Genomic DNA, 18,304 nt, shown 5'->3' on the forward strand with positions numbered 1-18,304 from the left:
TAATGTTAGACAAAATAACCTTCAGGACAATACAAATTAATAAAAATATAGAAATAAAGAAAAAATAAAAATATATTCTTACATAAGAATACAAGGAACAATTTGTCAGCAAGATAACAATCCTGAATCTTTGTACATCCAACATCTGAGCCCTAAAATAGATGCAGTGAAAATAGAATTGTAAGGAGCGATGGACAAATTGACAATAATAAAACAGTTCCTACAATCCCATTTCTTTTTCCAGGCAGTGATGAATGGCTGCCCATGTCACCCACTGCTGGGCAATGCTGTGTAAGGAGCAAAGGAGCAATCCCCAGCAGGGATTCTGGGAAGGGATTTTTTTTTTCTGATCAAAATAAGATGTCCTTCACGCCTCCTGTACTTCTCTTTTTGTCTTTGAAAAGATTTTCATTAGGAAGTGATTGTTGAAAAAGCAATAGCCATTTCCTTCATTATTCTTATTATATGGCATTTTATAAAAGCCCATTTTTATGTCAGTGTGAATTGCAGCCCAAAGCATCCTAACAAATACAAAGGTGAACTTCCCGTATTAGGCATCCGTAATCATGATCAAGCTCTGGTAATGAAAATGGCATAATAGTGCAGAAATGGATAAACAGAACAATGCAAGACAACATGCATGTATGTGAACTTGATAGATGCCCTTAGTGGCATTGCAAGGAAGAGAAGACGAAATACACTATTCAATGATTTTGTGGAAACTTCCATTCAGAAAAACATAAAGTTAGAATCCTACCTTACACTATACAGAAAATTACGTTCCAAAGGATTAAAGGCATAAATGTGGAAGGCAAAACCTAAAAATACTTAGAATTGTATCTTGGAGAATATCTGTATAAGCTTGGATGGAGAAGGATTCACTAACCGAGACACACAAACCACAGACTGTGAAAACAAAGAATGATTAATCTAACTACGTTAAAATTAAAATCCTTTGTATAACAAAAGGCAATCCAAACTTAGTGAAAAAGCAAGCCACAGACTAGGAGAAGAAACTTGTTACACTCTTAACCAACAAAGAATCCATATCTAGAACTTATAAAGCGCTTTCTCATAAAAGCATACCCAATTTTTTAAAAAATGGCAAAGGATATAAATAAGTGCATAGCAGAAGAGAAAACCCTAATGGCCAATAAACATATGAAAAGACACGTAATCTCATTAGTGACAGGGAAATGAAGATTAAATCAGCAATGAAATGTCTCTTCACACCCAACAATTTGGCAAAAAAAAAAAAAAAAGGATGCCTCGTTATAACAAGTAAGAGAGAGGAAGTGTAGTTGAGGAACTCTCAAATATTGATTGTGGGAGTGTAAATGGGTACAGCCCCCTGAGTGGATATTGTCAAACTGCTCCCAACTGAGGCTATTCAGACCCTACAACCTGGGTACATATTCTTGAGAAATATATGCACGAGAACCATATACTCTAATCGTCACTGCACATTGTTCGTTAAAAAATAGCAAACAATCAGAAAGAAGCCTAAGACATGGGCGTGTATAAGTTGTCCTATATGCATAGGAGCTTACTAAATAGCAGTTAAAATGAATATCCTAAATCTACATGTATCAACATACATACTCTGTAAGTGTTGAAGGGATAAAGAGCAAGTTACAAATGCATTATATAATTTTGGTAAATTGAAAAGAAAGACATAATGCTATCTAGTTACTTATGCATCAAAGTATAAAACCATTGATAGGAAAGTTATAAAACCCTCAAGATTTTGGTTAATTCTGTGATAAAAAGGAAGGGATTATATGGGGACATTTCCAATATATGTGCAATAATTTCTTTCTTAAACAGATGTCAAAGAAATATGGCAATATGCCAACATTTATTAAATCTAGGGTTGGATATATCTGGATGTCTGTATATTATTTTCAGTATGTCTGAAATATAATTATTTTCCATGTTTGAAAGAGAATCAATGTATGATTTTTTTTTTTTTGAGACGTAGTTTCGCTCTGTCACCCAGGCTGAAGTGCAGTGGCGTGATCTCAGCTCACTGCAACCACCGCCTTCTGGGTTCAAGCGATTCTCCTGCCTCAGCCTCCCGAGTAGCTGGAACTACAGGCACCCACCACCACTACTAAAAATAGTAGAGATAGGATTTCACCATATTGGCCAGGCTGGTCTCGAACTCCTGACCTTGTGATCAGCCTGCCTCGGCATCCCAAACTGCTGGGATTACAGATGTGAGCCACCGTGCCCAGCCACTGTAAGAATATTTTAAAATAAAATAAGAATGAGTTGTGTTAAATAAAATAATTGAAAAGTTAAATAAAATGAGTTATGAATAAAGGTGAAAAAATGTTAAATTCTGTAGTTGGAAGGAAGACATCCATTTCTTTTTAGAATGGAAAGAAGGGAAAAGAAGGTGTATTAGATTTTTAACCTGAGTTCAGCTATGCACCCATAGCTTTCTGGAAAGCCCCTTGCCAAGTTATTAAAGACCCGTGCAGCTGATCTCAGGAACTCTGCACATGTTAACATTTGTAAGTCCCAGAGCAGTCAAAATGGGTCGAGGGGTGGACTCCAGGAGAGGCCTTGGAGGCCAGCACACTTTTTACAACATTCACATCGGGATTTCTCTGAGTTGAACAGTCTCACGGGGTGTGCAAACGCAGGTCTATGTGTGCTCTGGAGCTGCACCTGCTGCCACCATCACCTTGGTCTTACGTTGCCTCCTGGCCAGGGCCAGCTTCATGGGCCTGCGACCTGCGTAGGTCTTCCTGACTAATAACCCTGCATTTTCATTTTGCACTGGGCCTCCCATATTATGTAGCCAGTCCTACTCCTGGCAACCACCGAATGGTGATGGTCCTGTGCTGAAGGGGGTATGTTTTCTCATCTTTACCTGGTCAGCGCTGTCCCCAGCACTTGAATTGAACCATCCATTCATACAACTTGCTTGACTCCTGCAGGCATCTAGTTTGTTGCCTGTATTTTACAGTTTGGACCTGGCTGTACTAAGGAGTTCCTGCAGAAAAATGCTGTCCTGCCATCAAGCTCTGTGAAATTTTGGGAGTCCAGGGCAGAAGGCTGCATTCATCTTGACACTGATGCCTTGATACTAATTCTATTTATATTCAGTGAAACTAATGCAACAACTTAAAGTAAAAGGACAATGAAACTGAAGTTATGGTATCTCAGAAATGATTATTTAGGTAAACACAATCTGATTGTCTTTAGATAGTATTAACATGCCCATCTACGTGAGAAGTCTTGTACGGTCTTTATCCAAATCAAAGGCGCCAGCTTAATTCAGACTTTCATAGAAGCTGGTTGTCTGATCCTTAACTTTTATACTTAGGCTGTGTGCGGTGGCTCATGCCTATAATCCCAGAGCTTTGGGAGGCCGAGGCAGGTAGATCATGAGGTCAGGAATTCAAGACCAGCCTAGCCAACATGGTGAAATCCCGTCTCTACTAAAAATACAAAAATTAACTAAGAGAGGTGGCGCATGCCTGTAATCCCAGCTACTCAGGAGGCTGAGGCAGGAGAATTGCTTGAACCTGGGTGGCAGAGGCTGCAGTGAGCCGAGATCATGCCATTGCACTCCAGCCTGGGCGACAGAGCAAGACTCCATCTAAAAAAAAGTTTCATACTTAAAAAAAAAGTTTACACAAAAACAAAAACATCTTTCTAGATGTTTCTAGATGTCAGAGAGAAATGGTTAATGCATACATTCTCTTTTAGAAGCAGAAGCAATCTGGAAAAAGAAGTCCAGAGTTTTAGCCTACGGCCTTAATGGCTGGTCCTCTAAAACCTCCCATCCTCACCCTGCATCCACGCCTTCCAAGACGTCTTGGGAAATTTCAGGGCAAGAGTCCCAAGGAAGGGATTGCTCTCGGTACCATTAGTGAAGGGCATCAGCCTTGAAAAAAGGACCTTGGCCAGGGCAGGGCTGAGGATGGGTCAAGGGATGTGGTTGCTCTTCTCCTTGGTGACATTGTGGTGACCATGAGCAGAAAAATGGTAAATCCCTCAATGACACTGACTAGGTTTGAAGCTTACATTGTATTGGTAGGAGGGGGAATTTCCCTTTCAAAAGACTCCTCAATTCCTGGATATGCATAATGTTCTGCGGTGTAAGAAGCATGCCAGGAATGGAAGGGACAAATATGCAGGAAGTTTGTCCATCCACTTTATATGTACTACAGTTTGTGGTTATGAGAGCATCGAAGGTATTCAGGGCAATGACATTCTCATTCATGGCATTCCACTTGGCTCCTGGGGAATATAAACCAGTTGTCTCATGTAAAAAAGTCTCACACTCCCATTAGGAAAACATTAGGAGAAAATAGACATAACAGGGACATATTTAATTTTTTAATGATCGTCTAAAGACCACAAAGAGTCTGTGATATGAAAGACTTTAAATTCCTCTTTGATCTACGTTAGCTGAGTAATCACCACATTATCACAACATGCGGGGGCTCCAAGCATCCGAAACAGTACAGATGTCATCCCAGCAGACGCCATACCTTCTGCCTCTGTGCAAGCTGATGAACCCATCCAAACTGGCTTTCCTCATCTGTAAAATGGGTAGATATTGGGATTTTCTTCATAGATTTTAAGGATTAATGATCATGCAGGAAACAGGCTTAGCACAGGGTCCAGCACTTAGGAAGTCCTTGGTGGGTGCTAAGGATGATTCCTAACTCAGGCAGGCAGGTATTGAGGCAGTGCCTCCAGCGTCTGGTCCCTACATCCTATCCACAAAATCAGTGCAGAGGGAACATGCATTACAGCAGCAGACCTAGAAGCCAAGAGAAAGAAGGAATGTTTTAGTTCTTCTGAAGTTGAGACCCTGGATATGTTGAGAAAACTAGCATGGAATAAGAGCGGTCAAAGAAAGGCTTTAAGAAATAAAGTCGCTAGAATTTATTGTTTCTGTCTAACACTAAATAATCCCTGAGAGGACTAACAGCATCACTGGCCGTCCCAAGTGATCAATTTGGAAAGCAACATACAGTCATGAGTTGCTTAACAACTGGGGATCCATTCTGAGAAATGCATAGTTAGGCAAAGTCATCGCTGTGGGAGCATCACGGAGTGCACTTACACAAACCTAGGAGGCAGAGCCCACTACACACCTAGGCTTTATGGTATAACCTATCACTCCAAGGCTACAAACTTGTACAGCATGTTATTGTGCTGAGTACTGTAGGCAATTGTTACATAATGATAAGCATTTTTGTATATAAACATAGAAGTGATACAGTAAAAATAAGGTATTGTAATCTTATGGGACCACCTTTCTATGTACAGTCCATTGTTGACTAAAATGTTGTCATGCAGTTCTTGGCAGAACCTAAATGATTCAGCTCTCTGGCTCTGGGGACAGACAACGCCAGTATGCTCTGGCTGGGTACTATAGTGCATGCTATTTCACCTCTGTAAGCCTGAGTCTTCACATCTGCAAAACTGGGATATCAATTGTGCCTCCCTCATGGGCTTGTTGAAGTGTTAAGTGTTCAGCTCTCGGCAGTGTTAATTGGAATTCTCTCTAATATACCCCCAGAGAAGAGCTTTAGGGAACAAGATGGCACCAAAATCATATTTTTGGCATGTCTTTCAGACAACAGATAAAAGGATGATCAGTTCTGAATGCTCAAAGACTGGCTTAGTCAGCCTCTCCTCATGCCCTCCTCCCCTGATGTCCTCAGTGATGTGGGAGCCCTCGTGAGGACTCCCCAGCAAGCCAGCCTACATGCAGTGCGATGACCTGAAAACTCAGTCATCTGCAGACTCCATGACGTGAGCATGAGTCACTGAACTCTCTAAATGTTACACTCTACAAGGTGAGTGCTGCTTGTTTATAAAGACAATGGGGCCTCGGCTATATCCGATCTTGTCTCCTTGAAAATTCTTAGTCACATATTAGTCAGAACACCCCCAAGTCAGAAGGGAGAGCCTACCCCCAGATTCTGCATGTAACTTCTGGAACCTCCTGAGTCAGCAGTGTTGTCACACCCCCTCCACCTCTGTGGCTGGGGTCAGGCACATGACTGGATGGATGGATGTCCATGAAACAGCCTCCTACACCCTGTAAAGCCCCTTGTCTCCCAGGCCCACTGCTAGCAACTGAAACTCCCTTGCCTTCCTTCTAGGAAAAACCCATGCCAGAGACTTTATTTTTTCCAAGTAGACTTTACTTTCGGCAGTTTTAGGTTTTCAGAAAAATTGCTCAGAAGAAAAGGTACAGAGAGTTCCCATATACCTTCCCCGTCCTCTCCCCAGTTTTCCCTGTTGTTAACATGTATTATTTTGGTACATTTGTTATAATTGATGAACCAATATTATTACACTATTATTAACCAGAGCCCATAGTTTACATTAAGGCTCACTCTTTGTGCTGTATATTCTATGAGTTTTGGCAAATACATAATGTCATGTATCCATCATTGCAGTATCATAAGTAATAGTTTAACTGCCCTAAAAATCTCATGGCTTCACCTGTTCATCCCTCATCTCTCGCCTCCCCAACTCCTGCAGAACACTGATCCTTTTATTATCTCTATAGCTTTTGTCCTTTCCACAATGTTATAGAGTTGGACTCATACAGAATGCAGCCTGTTCAGAATAGCATCTTTTACTTTACAGTATGCATTAAGGCTTCTCCATGTCTTTTCATGGCCTGATAACTCACTTGTTTTATTGTTGATTAATACACCATTGTATACACGTGCCACAGTTTTGCTGTTTGCCTATTTAAAACATCTTGGCTACCACTTTTTGTCAGTTATGAATAAAACTGCCATGTGCAGGTTTTTATGTGGACATAAGTTTTCCAGAGGCTTTTTTTTTTCATTATTAAGATCTTCAGTGATTCACCATCTTCTGCTTTTTTGGTTTTTCTGAGAGTAGGCAAAATGGAGTTTCATTTGGAAGCCTTACTTTCTGAAAAATGGTGGGTGAAATGGAAAGTCTGGCTTTCATCCTTTAGGAGTTCATTTAACCCTTCTGATTTTTGACTCATCCATTAAGGCAGTGATAACATACAGTCTGGAAAATACACATAAAGAGGATGGTTATAAAATAATAAGCAAATAAACATTCATTTTACATGTTTCCTTGCACTCTTTACTTCCTCCTCTCGTCCCTCCCTTTACATTTTCCTGCTGAGAAATTTTAAGATTAGATTTCCAAGTTATCTGCTGCTTGAATTTTTCACACATTTTTATTTAGTATCTAAGGATTTCCCACACCACCCCAATTTCCATCCTGGATTAATCATACATTATAAATTCTGAATGTATGCTGACATTTCTGTTTGGTCTTTACAGTTATGATAAAAAGTTAATTCCAAGGTGAGTCTTCATTGGCTAGAAGTGAGATCGTTGCCTCTGAGTTGTGGGAGTAGCCCAGGGTGGTGAGTGAGGAGAAAGGGAGGAAACAGGTCAGACCACCCCCAAGGGAGGAGGATACAGAGGGGAGTGCTGTAATGATTACTCATAGTTGGAGGACATATTAGTGCATCGTAGATAATGTAGTAGGAACCAAGTGCCACAGGATTGATTATTTGTTTATTTTGAGATAAGAGTCTCACTCTGCTGCCCAGGTTGGTGTGCAGTGACACGATCTCAGCACACAGCAACTTCCGTCTCCCGGGCTCAAGTGATCTTCCCACTTCAGCTTCCCAAGTAGCTAGGACCACAAATGCAAGCCACCACGCTGGCCTAATTTTTAAATTTTGTGTAGAGATGGGGCCTCACTATGTTACCCAGGCTGGCCCATAGGATTATTTAAATCAAGAATTCTCTGTCTTCTATGCTAATAGCTTATGCCAAGTCTCGGCAGGGCAGTTCACTGAAACCTGAAATGATGGCCTGAAATGTCACAGGTTGGTGAGGATGCTAGCAATATGGTCTGGGCTCTCTGATTTATGAATTTTGGAAGCTGTGTCTGCATAGTACTGCTAAAAAGGACTGAGAAAGAAAATTATCTGTTTTCTACCCAGTTGCTTTGCCAAGTAAGAACAAAATCATTTGGAATGGAATTGTCTCAACTGATTGATCCACAGTGGTAAAAATAGTCTTTTCCAGACAGGTCAAGGTTACAGCATGACTGTCTGTGGCCATCTGTGACTTCCACTTCAAGCCCGTCATTGGCTCCCTGTGCTTTCTGGACAAGGGCATCACGATCTGACCGTTGCCTACCTCCTGTTGGCTTTTCCTTGTTTCAAAGGCTATATTTCAGATATTCTGAACTTTCAAAATTTCCAGAAGGCCAACATTCTTCTTCCAAATTCTTTAGATCATACTTACCATTTCTCCTAGAATGACCCACCCACTCATCTCTATTACCTTCCTCTCTTACTCTTCTCTGAGCACCCTCCCTAACCCCTAATGGGCTGCATGCCTGGCATATTGTGTGCCCCATTGCATCATTTACTTCCCTTGTTGTGGCACTCTTCTCTCCACCTTGTACTTACCTGATCATGCATCCTCCTCTCTCTACTAGAATGCAAGCTCATGAGTATAGGAGCCAGCTTCACTCCATCATGCTCATGGAGTGGAGCCCTGTGCCCAGTATCTAGTAGGGTCTCAATGAATGAATGAATGAATGAATGAATGAACCTAAAATTAGACTGAAGATGCTTGAAGCACATGCTAAAAGCTGGGGGATTATATGAACAAGACAGGAAATTCATATTATTGCCTTTCACACCACAGCTGTAAGGGCTGTAGAACTAAACCAACAAGCAAATACACACAACAAAAGAATTATCTTCCCCAGATAGGCCAAGTGCACATCTCCAGACTTGGGGTACACACTGCTGGTTACCTACCTAGTACCCATGTGCATCTTTTTCCTTGCTAATAGAATCCCAGTTTTGTTCAAGGGGACAATGTCCTACATTTTAAAAATAAAAGCTACATTTCTCATGTTTTTTTTTTTTTCTTTTTCAGTGGAGTTCACCATCTCAGACAATTCTCACCAGTGAGAAGCAGAAGATTGCTGGCGATTCAGAGAAAGTTTCATTTTCCTGATACGAAGGTATCCTTTCCTTCCTGTTGCCTGTCTTCCTCTTTTTTTGCCTGGAATGTAAAGGAAAGGCAAGAGTAGACTCACTGTAAGTACACAACTACATTCTAAGAAAGTCAGACCAGAAAGACGGAAAGAGCCTTGAACCTTAAAAATATGGTGGAGCCTACCTTCAGATGTGTCATCAGAGAAAAATAAACTGGCTAAGCCACAGGAGACTAATTTGTGTTCTATGCAGAATGCCACCTCTGAGTGACACAGAGCTTTATCTCTAGGCTCCTGAAGTGAGTGCTTTTCAGTGGGGTAAAAACAAAAAACCCCAGTTTTTGTTTGTTTATTTGTTTGTTTTGAGACGGAGTCTCACTCTGTCGCTAGGCTGAAGTGCAGTGGTGAGACCTTGGCTCACTGCAACCTCTGCCTCCCGGGTTCAAGCGATTCTCCTGCCTCAGCCTCCTGAGTAGCTGGGACTATAGGCACATGCCATCATGCCCAGCTAATTTTTGTATTTTTAGTAGACACAGGGTTTCACCATGTTGGCCAGGATGGTCTCGATCTCCTGACCTTGTGATCCACCCACCTTGGCCTTCCAAAGTCCTGGGATTACAGGCATGAGCCACTGCGTGGGGCCAAAAAACACCCCAATTTAAGCCCCTGTTTTGTATGGCCTAATGTGTAGAGGACAAAGGAAACTAGCCAGGCCCAAACATTTGGTCATTCAACAATCAAATTGTAGGTGGTTCAGGAACCATTAGCTCTCTCATTGAGGGGACATCTGAATACTCAATCTTCAGAAGTTGCAGTAAGTCAGATCAACAACTGCAAACTTCTTTTCCCTTCATCTCTTCTGTCTTGCTTTCCTTTCTGGACTCACTTCCACTACCTGCTCTCTTACCACCCTAGTTCTCTTTTTTGTCCTTTGTATGATGCTGTATGGCCATTTAAATTTCCCTGATTATCTGTTGGCTTTTGCAGAGGTAGCTGTCAAAAACTACATCTGAGACGATTGCATACAGTAGGAACTCTGGGACCCAAACATGTTAACTCATCCCCAGCTGAGACCAACTCTTAGAATGGTGTCTTGAAATTTCCAAGTCTTTATGGTTTACAAACTTCTGTTATGGCTCTAGGAGGTCAAATAACTTATCTTAGAGGTTTTACAGTCTGGAGGGAGGGGATGGGAGGTATGCATGCAAATGTGCACATGCAGGAATTTCCAGGAAACTTATTTAAAATGCTTCTTTCTCTTTCCCACTCCTGGAAATTGTGATTCAGTTAGCAGAGCCCAGGAACTTGAATTAACAAGCACCCAAATGTTTTGACTCAGGGGGTTCCTGAGTCAGACTTGAAGAACTATTGACCTATGATGGGTCTGAGGTGGCCCCATGTGCTGAGCTGGCCCCGTGTGCTGAGCTGGTCCCCATCTGACAGCAAGGTCTTGAAGAAAATGAAACTGGAATTGGGTCTTGGGGGGCCAAGTAGGTGAGGGATATGGAAAAGATAATTGACACAAGGGAGGGGAAATAATGCTAAAAAAGAAGGATGAGATTGTCAAAATGCAAAGTTTCTGTCTCCACAGAGGTATGAACCTATCAATGTTGTCCGTGTACATTATGGTGACAGGGTATTAGTATCAAACTGTTTTGCTTAGGATAACCATGGCATCCTGAGTATAATAGGTCATGAAACCAATACAATGCAATACATGTGAGCAACTTAATTATACTTGTCATGGTGTTGAGAGCATTTAAATTATGATATGCTGGCATGGTCCAACCTGGATCATTTGAATTCAGCAGTGCGTGCGTATGTGTGTGTGCTCATGAGTGTGTGCAAGGGAGAAGGGGGCACAGTACATCTTGATTCATGTAATATCTGTGTGGTCGAGAGAATTCTCATTTTCCATGAAAGTAAAACAGATTGAGAACTAACAGTTCATTACCTCTGGGCCAGACTTTTTCTCCTTGGGTCAAACAATCAAGTGTTTAGAGCCGAGTCTGAGCCTTAAGAAAACAAGGCTGACCATGGAGCATTTGGACCCATGAACACAATCTTGCTGGGGCTGGAGGGGTCAGAGCTGCTCACATCTAGACCCACAGAAGCGAGCTGATGAGACTAATTGGGACTTCTTGTGCACCAGGCTGAGGGTAATTGGGTCCCTAGACATGTTGACCTTTTCATTTATTCACCATTTAACATGAGCTCTTAGCTACTGTGTTTGGAGCTTAAACTGGTACATTTAAAGCAGCAGCCACATTCTTCTTCTGCGTGTCCATTCATCCTTCTTAGCTTCTTTTCTTTCTTCCTTCCTTCAGTCTGCCCTTCTTTCTGGTCTTTTGAGGAAGATGGAGTGGCCTCTGAGTGGAGGTATTTGCCAACAGAAGGCAAACCTTACTTCTTGTCTAGGCCTCTTTCTAGGGGTGATGGGGGTATCACTTAATAAGGCCCCCAGCCTCAGAAATGGAGTTGAGAATTTGAATAGCGTGGTTCTGCTCCAGCTGCCCCTTCCAGACCGTCTCAGCATGGGCTGGCTGGACTCCCTATTTCTCTGCCCCACAGGCTGGCCAATGGTCTGAGAAGCACTTGGGCACTGGGGCACTGATCTGGCCTTTGTCCCCAGCGGTGTTCTTCTTTGCCACCAGCTGCCTGCTAACTCAGTCTATTCCTGTAGTCAGTAGAGGGGCAAAGTACCCAGTGCACACAGGCCAAGGCCCATGGCATTGCCTGGGCCTCTTATAGCTACAGTATTCGTATCGCTGAGAAAAGAAGGTTCTTGAAACTTTTTCTTGGCTATTGAATGCAACCAGGTGGTCTCCAGGAATCCAAATAAGATGAATAGCAGGTGGGTGCACTTTTGCTCTTTTGTGCTGTAACACAACCACTTACAATAGGGCCCTCTTACTCCTACAGCAGGGTGACTTCACCTCTCATCCAGGAACCCCTGGGCCCTTCCATCCTGAAATAACATGCAAAATATCACTTGGGAGTGCATTTACACACATGGTGCAAAGAGGGGCTGCGTTGTTTCCATCATGCTCTCAAAGGGTTGCTGGGCCTCCCAAATGTAAGACCCATCCCTCTATACTCTCACCTTTACCCTCTGGCCTGAGGTGTTCACATTTTGTTATGCCTAGGACAGGTTGTTTACAAGATACACAGTTAAATATCTTTTTTGAAATTTTAATGTCTTAGGAAAAATAAATACTGCATCAAAACTGCAATTTTGTGGATTTTAAAGTTTGAAGCTAAACTATCTTAAAATGGTTGATTTAAGTAAAAACATCAAATAATGCAGGTGGTGTGCTGATATATCAAATATCAGGAGGAGGGCAGCTTGTTGACCTGTGGGAGCTCACTCTGGCCACGCAGCTTCCTCGTGTCTCCACACAGCCTGCACTGCCGACACCTCACCTCACAGGAACCCCCAGCCTTGCATTTTCTCCCATCTGCCTCACATGATGCAGCTCATAGGACCAGGATCAGGCTCCCTTGTCTTTGAAGCTTCTCTGACTCCTCAGGGGGAGCAGCCCCATGCCTTTGGAACCCCCTGTGGTTTTGTCTCACATCCTGTTCAACAGACAGATGAGCGTCTTTGTTCAAGTGACAGTTTCCTCTGAGGCTGCAAGATCCTTCAGGGAGGACTCAGGTCCCCTCACTGTGGGAAGTCTTGCTTACTTGACTGGTGCCAGGCTTATTATAGAGGCTCAAACAAATTTGTGGAATGCATGAGTGAATCAATGGGTGCAATAATGAGTGGATGAGCGAGTGCATGGGCGAATGACTGAATGAGTGAATGGACAAACAGCTCCTGTGTCTGGCCTCACCAGGAAAGTGTTTCAATTAAGGCACCTTTCGAGAAAATTTTCATAGCTGTCAGACTTTTTGTAACAATTTATGTTAGAAATGTTTCTACATCAGAAAAGCATAATATTAAAGAGCATGATATTACAAGACAAACAACCTGGGTTCTAAATCTGGTCTGACACCAACTGGTTGGTGAGTTTAATGACTACTTTCATTCTGTATGAGCTCTTGGCAGCATTTATGTCATGTCTTGACACTGTTCGTTCCTTAAGATTCTCCTCTCTTCCGATTTCTGTATTTCCTCCACTCCCTTGACTGTCTCAGCCCCTCTCCCTCTTTTCTCTGTTCATCCCTTGATTCCTGCCATAACCCAGGACTCTACTGGGATGGTGCAAAAGTAATTGCCATTACTTTTATTGGCAAAAACAGCAGTTAGTTTTGCACCAACCTAATAGCTGCCACTGCTGCTTTTCTTACCAAATCCCCGCCCAGGACAAACTTCCTCAGGCTCAAACACACCTCAGCTGCCACCAATCTGTTCAGTGCTCTCATATCTCTCTCCAAACTCCCTTCTAATCCCAGACCTTTATTCCCAGCTAATCTTCTGTTACATGTACCTTAAGCTTGGCATTTTAAGAACAGAACTCCTTACCTTCCCTCTTGACCAAAGCCAGTCTGCTGCAATCAGGCACAAACTTTGAGTCTAATTCACAGACTCTAACTCAGATGGTAAGTTAGCTGCTTGAGTCCAAACTGTGGTTTACTTTTTTAGTAACCTGGGACAAGTGACTTCGACTCTCATTATCTCAATCATAATTACCTCACTTATAAAATGGATAGACAAATCCTGTAACACTGAAACTCACCTGTGCATGTGTGGATGAAATATGATTACGTGTGTGAAATTTGTAGCACAAAGAAAGCCCTTCCTTTGGGATTGCCTTTTTTACCTTGCCAACCAAGGGCATTTGTCTCCATTATTTTTTAGTTTTTTCTGCCCCTCTGAAGCCGAATCATTTCCCCCCACATAGACACTCTCGCCTTTGAAGTATGGATTACATATGTCTGTGGGTCTCACTTGCATGCCTGTCTTTCCCTCTAAATTGTGAACTCCTGTGTCCTTACTGAATCTGAATCCTCACACCAGGCACTTAACACACATTAGGTGAGTTGTGTTAAGCTGAATGATACTTTAAAAAAAAAAAAGATATATTACATAATTCTCAAGAAGATTCTAGAAAGAAGACAGTAAAGTCCATGTGCTCAGCCTTTTTTTTTTTTTATTTCAGAACACTGAGTTTCAAATTATTGAATTTACTGACAGAACAGTGAAAATTTCTTAACTAACCTGGAAAAGTTCACTAATTGAAAGGGTCATTTCAGTTGCAATTCCAGAGGCCTTCTGGAATCAGCTTTAGTGTCCTTGGCAAATGTCTAGATAGACCCTCCTTCCAACATGCAGACCGTGGAAATGCCTCAGTTATCAGTTCACCGCCATGTGTGCACTTTTTTTTTTTTTTTGGAAAGGTAGGTTTGAGTATCCCTCCAGCTTTTCTTGAGAAAAGCTGAAAATATGGAAACTTCTTAAGTAATTGATTTAGCTTCCCTGAAGCTCCTAGTTCTTGGCAGGTCCGATGTTGGAAACTGCAATAAGATTCCTTTTTCTGTTGTGTTTTCGACATTTGGTTCTTAATCCATATAAAAGTGCAGTTGCTATGAGGGAATGTTGTTGGGTCACTCAGAACACAGGAAAGGAAAAAAATTATCTAATAATACATACACACCCTGCAAGCGGGGGAAGAGTGCTTCTGATCTTTCTTATATTTTTCTTTCCAAGAAAGTCTTGAAATGGAGGGGGACAAAGGAAGGATTGTGAGAGGGCTTGGAGAAGTGGGCAGCTCAGGGCACCTGCCTGCCCGGAGCTGGGACAGGTGGAAAGTGAGGCATCCGTCTGACCTCCTTTTTGCCCTCCTCTGTTGGGCCTGGTGTAAGTAGAAGGTTGCTACAGGGCTGTGTGGGGCACTTGCTGGAGGCTTCTGACCTAGGCACTTGCAGCTGATGCCTGCTGTGTATTGACTTTCCTCTGATTCTTCCTTCTGCTATTCTGCAGGCAGCAAACAGAGGCCTTGAGAAAACCCTCGAAAATGGCACCTTGGCTGAAAGCCCAAGGGAGGCTCCCATCTCTGTCCATTCAGGGAATGTTCCGCAGGCCTGTTTTTACGTGGGACGTGGCTGCTGCCCTGAACAGACAAGTAGTCATATTTCACTTACTCTTAATATACCCAGTACCCCCAGTACCCCTCTGCCAACTCTTCTGTGACCGGTGCTAGTTTCAGACAGGAAAGGAAGGTGAGTTGCCTCCTCATCAACAGTGGAGGATCACCCTGCTGTGGGACAGCTTTAGAAACCCAGTTTGAACTCCCCATAAGCTGGCTCTATTCACAGAAGGAGAACACATTAATCAATGAAGGCCAAATCTCTGCCTCCCATACCATGCCTCATAGTTTCCATAAAAGAGAGCACATTGGGCTCCATCTCTCTTCACTTCAGTTTCATCATCAGCAAGCTGAAGATAGTGATATTGACCTCGAAATGGGGCTGTCAGGGTTAACTGACATGGGGCATGCAACGTGGGGAAAGGGGAGTGGGGCAAAGAGAAAGTGCTCTGGAAATAGTAATTATTCTTTTATTTCTCTTATATATGCTTTATTATTTTATTTTAATTCCCTTTGTCATTTCACTAACTTCTCTGTGGGCAGCTCTTTCTCTAGCAGAAACCCCTTCTCTTTATTTGTTTTCCGTTTTTTGAGACAGGGTCTCGCTCTGTTCCCAGGCTGGAGAGCACTGGTGCAATCACAGCTCACCACAGCCTCAAACTCCCAGGCTCAAGGATCCTCCCACCTCAGCCCCTTGAGTAGCTGGGATCACTGGCACATGCCACCATGCTAATTTTAAAAAGTTTATTTTGTAGAGACAGGGTCTCACTATGTTGCCCAGGCTAGTCCAGAGTCCCTTTCGTAATTCAAAGTCCCTATAACTCTCTGTTCTGTCAACGTGAAGGCATCAAACACTCTAACATATGTTTGCCGTTGAAAGCCAATCTCTCAGCATTCCCTGTGTGAGGGACCCCAGACACCACACCAGGGAGCTGACCCTTGTGAGACCAGTATCAAGGTGGAAAAAAAGAGTCCAGTGTGGGCTGTGTGTGTGTGTGTGTGTGTAAGAGTGTGTATATGTGTGCATGCATATCTAGAATGTGTTTGGGGTTGGAGTGGAATGAATCAGGGGCTTGGATTCTTGGAAGGGCTTAAAGATTTCTTGGAAGGAGAGACCACAGGGGTGATGACCAGGGAATACTTGAGAAGGCAAGAGCTCCAGGGAGTGGGAAGAGCGATGGAGAGGGGTAATGAAGAGGAAGAGGCCTTTCCCCATCCCCAGGCCCCACTGTTGCCTAAGGCTATTTTAGCAAGCCTGCTGAGCCTTGGGACAAGCCTTGGGGTGAGCAACGAGGCCCTGAGAAAATCCCTGCAGCCTCTGGCTGCAGCACCACGTGGCTTCCTTCGTTCCCAAGGCTTGTCTTCTTGCCTTCTTGCTCATGTTTCCTCAGCTTTGGCATGATGACTGGTCCCAGGCTCCCATGGACCTCCTGCCATTATCTTCCAATGTGCTAACAATATTGTTTCTTCTCATATTTCTTGTTGATTGTGTGTTTCTGCAAGAGAGAAGAAAAGGTTTCCATAACCACTCACATATCCAGCCACAGTGCCTTGGATTGAAAGAGGTATTTCCTACGGAATTTGGTGTATTTGTTCTGCCAGGTTCTGACCTTCTGCCACTAAACTGAAAACTGGAAAGGGAGCTCCCTCTCCTGAATGGTCACAACCCCCGCGGGGCTCCCATAAATCTCATTCTGTTTACTACTGATCTCCTTTGCTCTGCTGTTCTTGGATTGCTGATTCTGAGGGTGTTAATACAACACAACTTCCCATGTAGAGCAACTCATTTAACCAAGAGACTCAGCTGGGACCCTCAGTGGCTAGGAGAGTAGGGGGAAGACTGGTGACAGTCCAGGGTTAATTCTAAAATCAGCAGACCTACCTGATGAAGGAGGGAACAACAGTCTCAGATTCTTATTAAGAGTGATCCTCTTAAACTGGAAGCGTGTTCTGGCACCTTTACTGTATTCATAGGCAAGCCAAACAGTTTTTGTATGTTTGAGAACTCTATTTCATTCTTGGACTTGAAAAGCTTCTCCTTTATTTTTTTCCTTTTCAGAATAGATCTTTTGATAGCTAAAGCAATGTTGAAAAAAGAACAAAATTAAAGATCCCTCACTTTCCAATGTCAAACTTTATTACAAAGTTGTAATAATCAAAACAGAGTGTCATAAAGATAGACACACAGATCAATGGAATAGAACAGATAGCCCAAATATAAACCCTTGCATATGTGGTCAAATGATTTATGACAAGGGTACCAGAACTATTCAATGGGGAAAGGACAGTCTGGTTTGGACTTATCTTGTCTTGTCTTCTCTCCTCTCCTCTTCTCTCTCTCTCTCTTTTTTTTTTTTTTCAAATAGTGTCTTGTTCTGTTGCCCAGGCTGGAGTGCAGTGGCATGATCATGGCTCACTGCAGCCTTGACCTCCTAGGCTCACGTGATCCTCCTACCTCAGCCTCCTGAGTAGCTGAGACTACAGGAATATACCACCATGCCTGGCTAATTTCTTCTTTTGAGATGAAGTCTCACTCTGTCGCCCAGTCTGAAGTGCAGTGGCACAGTCTCGGCTCACTGCAAACTCTGCCTCCCAGGTTCAAGAAATTCTACTGCCTCAGCCTCCCGAGTAACTGGAACTACAGGTGTGTGCCACCACACCTGGCTAATTTTTGTATTTTTAGTAGAGATGGGGTTTCACCATGTTGGCCAGGCTGGTCTCAAACTCCTGACCTCGTGATCCACCTGCCTCAACCTCCCAAAGTGCTGGGACTACAGGTGTGAGCCACCACACTCGGCCTGCTAATTTTTAATTTTTTGTGAAGACAGGGTCTTGCTACGTTGCCTAGGCTGGTCTCAAACTCCTGGGCTAAAATAATCCTCCTGACTTGGCTTCCCAAAATGCTGAGATTACAGGCGCGAGCCACCATGCCCAGCCAGGTCAGTCTTTTCAACAAGTGGTATTCAAAAAACTGGTTACCCATATGGAAAAGAGTAAAGTTGAAACCTTACCTTACAGAATATACAAAAGTAACTCAAAATAGATCAAAGACCTAAACATAAGAGCTAAAACTACAAAACTCTTACCAAAAAAAAAAAAAATAGAGAAAAAGCTTCATGAGATTGAATATGGCGATTTTTTGACATGCATCAAAAGCCCAGAAAACAAAAGAAAAAATAAATTGGACCACATCAAAATTTTTAAAATTTCTATGCATCAAAGGACACAATCAACAAAGTGAAAAGACAACCTATGGAATGGGAGAAAAT

At 42.8% G+C, this 18,304-nt stretch overlaps 1 protein-coding gene across 2 annotated transcripts in view, besides 1 other annotated feature; it reads left to right on the forward strand.

Annotated features, from left to right (window-relative positions):
• SUGCT (succinyl-CoA:glutarate-CoA transferase) overlaps window positions 1-15,401 on the forward strand; it is a 903,812-nt gene extending 888,411 nt beyond the window's left edge. For both annotated transcript variants that reach the window (XR_007060157.1, XR_007060158.1), the window contains 2 exons: window positions 5,609-5,831; window positions 8,943-15,401. The gene's annotated coding sequence lies outside the window, so the exon portion shown is untranslated. The remainder of the gene's footprint in view (window positions 1-5,608; window positions 5,832-8,942) is intronic.
• Window positions 4,995-6,194: an enhancer, noted in NCBI's record as "P300/CBP strongly-dependent group 1 enhancer chr7:41068008-41069207 (GRCh37/hg19 assembly coordinates)". NCBI's record gives its function as "activates an origin of replication core promoter dependent on BRD2, BRD4, P300/CBP, MED14 and CDK7 cofactors, with strong dependence on P300/CBP, by STARR-seq in HCT116 cells {active_cell/tissue: HCT116}" and the evidence as "EXISTENCE:reporter gene assay evidence [ECO:0000049][PMID:35650434]".

This window comes from Homo sapiens, chromosome 7 (genome assembly GCF_000001405.40).
Source record: "Homo sapiens chromosome 7, GRCh38.p14 Primary Assembly".
In the NCBI taxonomy this organism is placed as follows: Eukaryota; Metazoa; Chordata; class Mammalia; order Primates; family Hominidae; genus Homo; species Homo sapiens.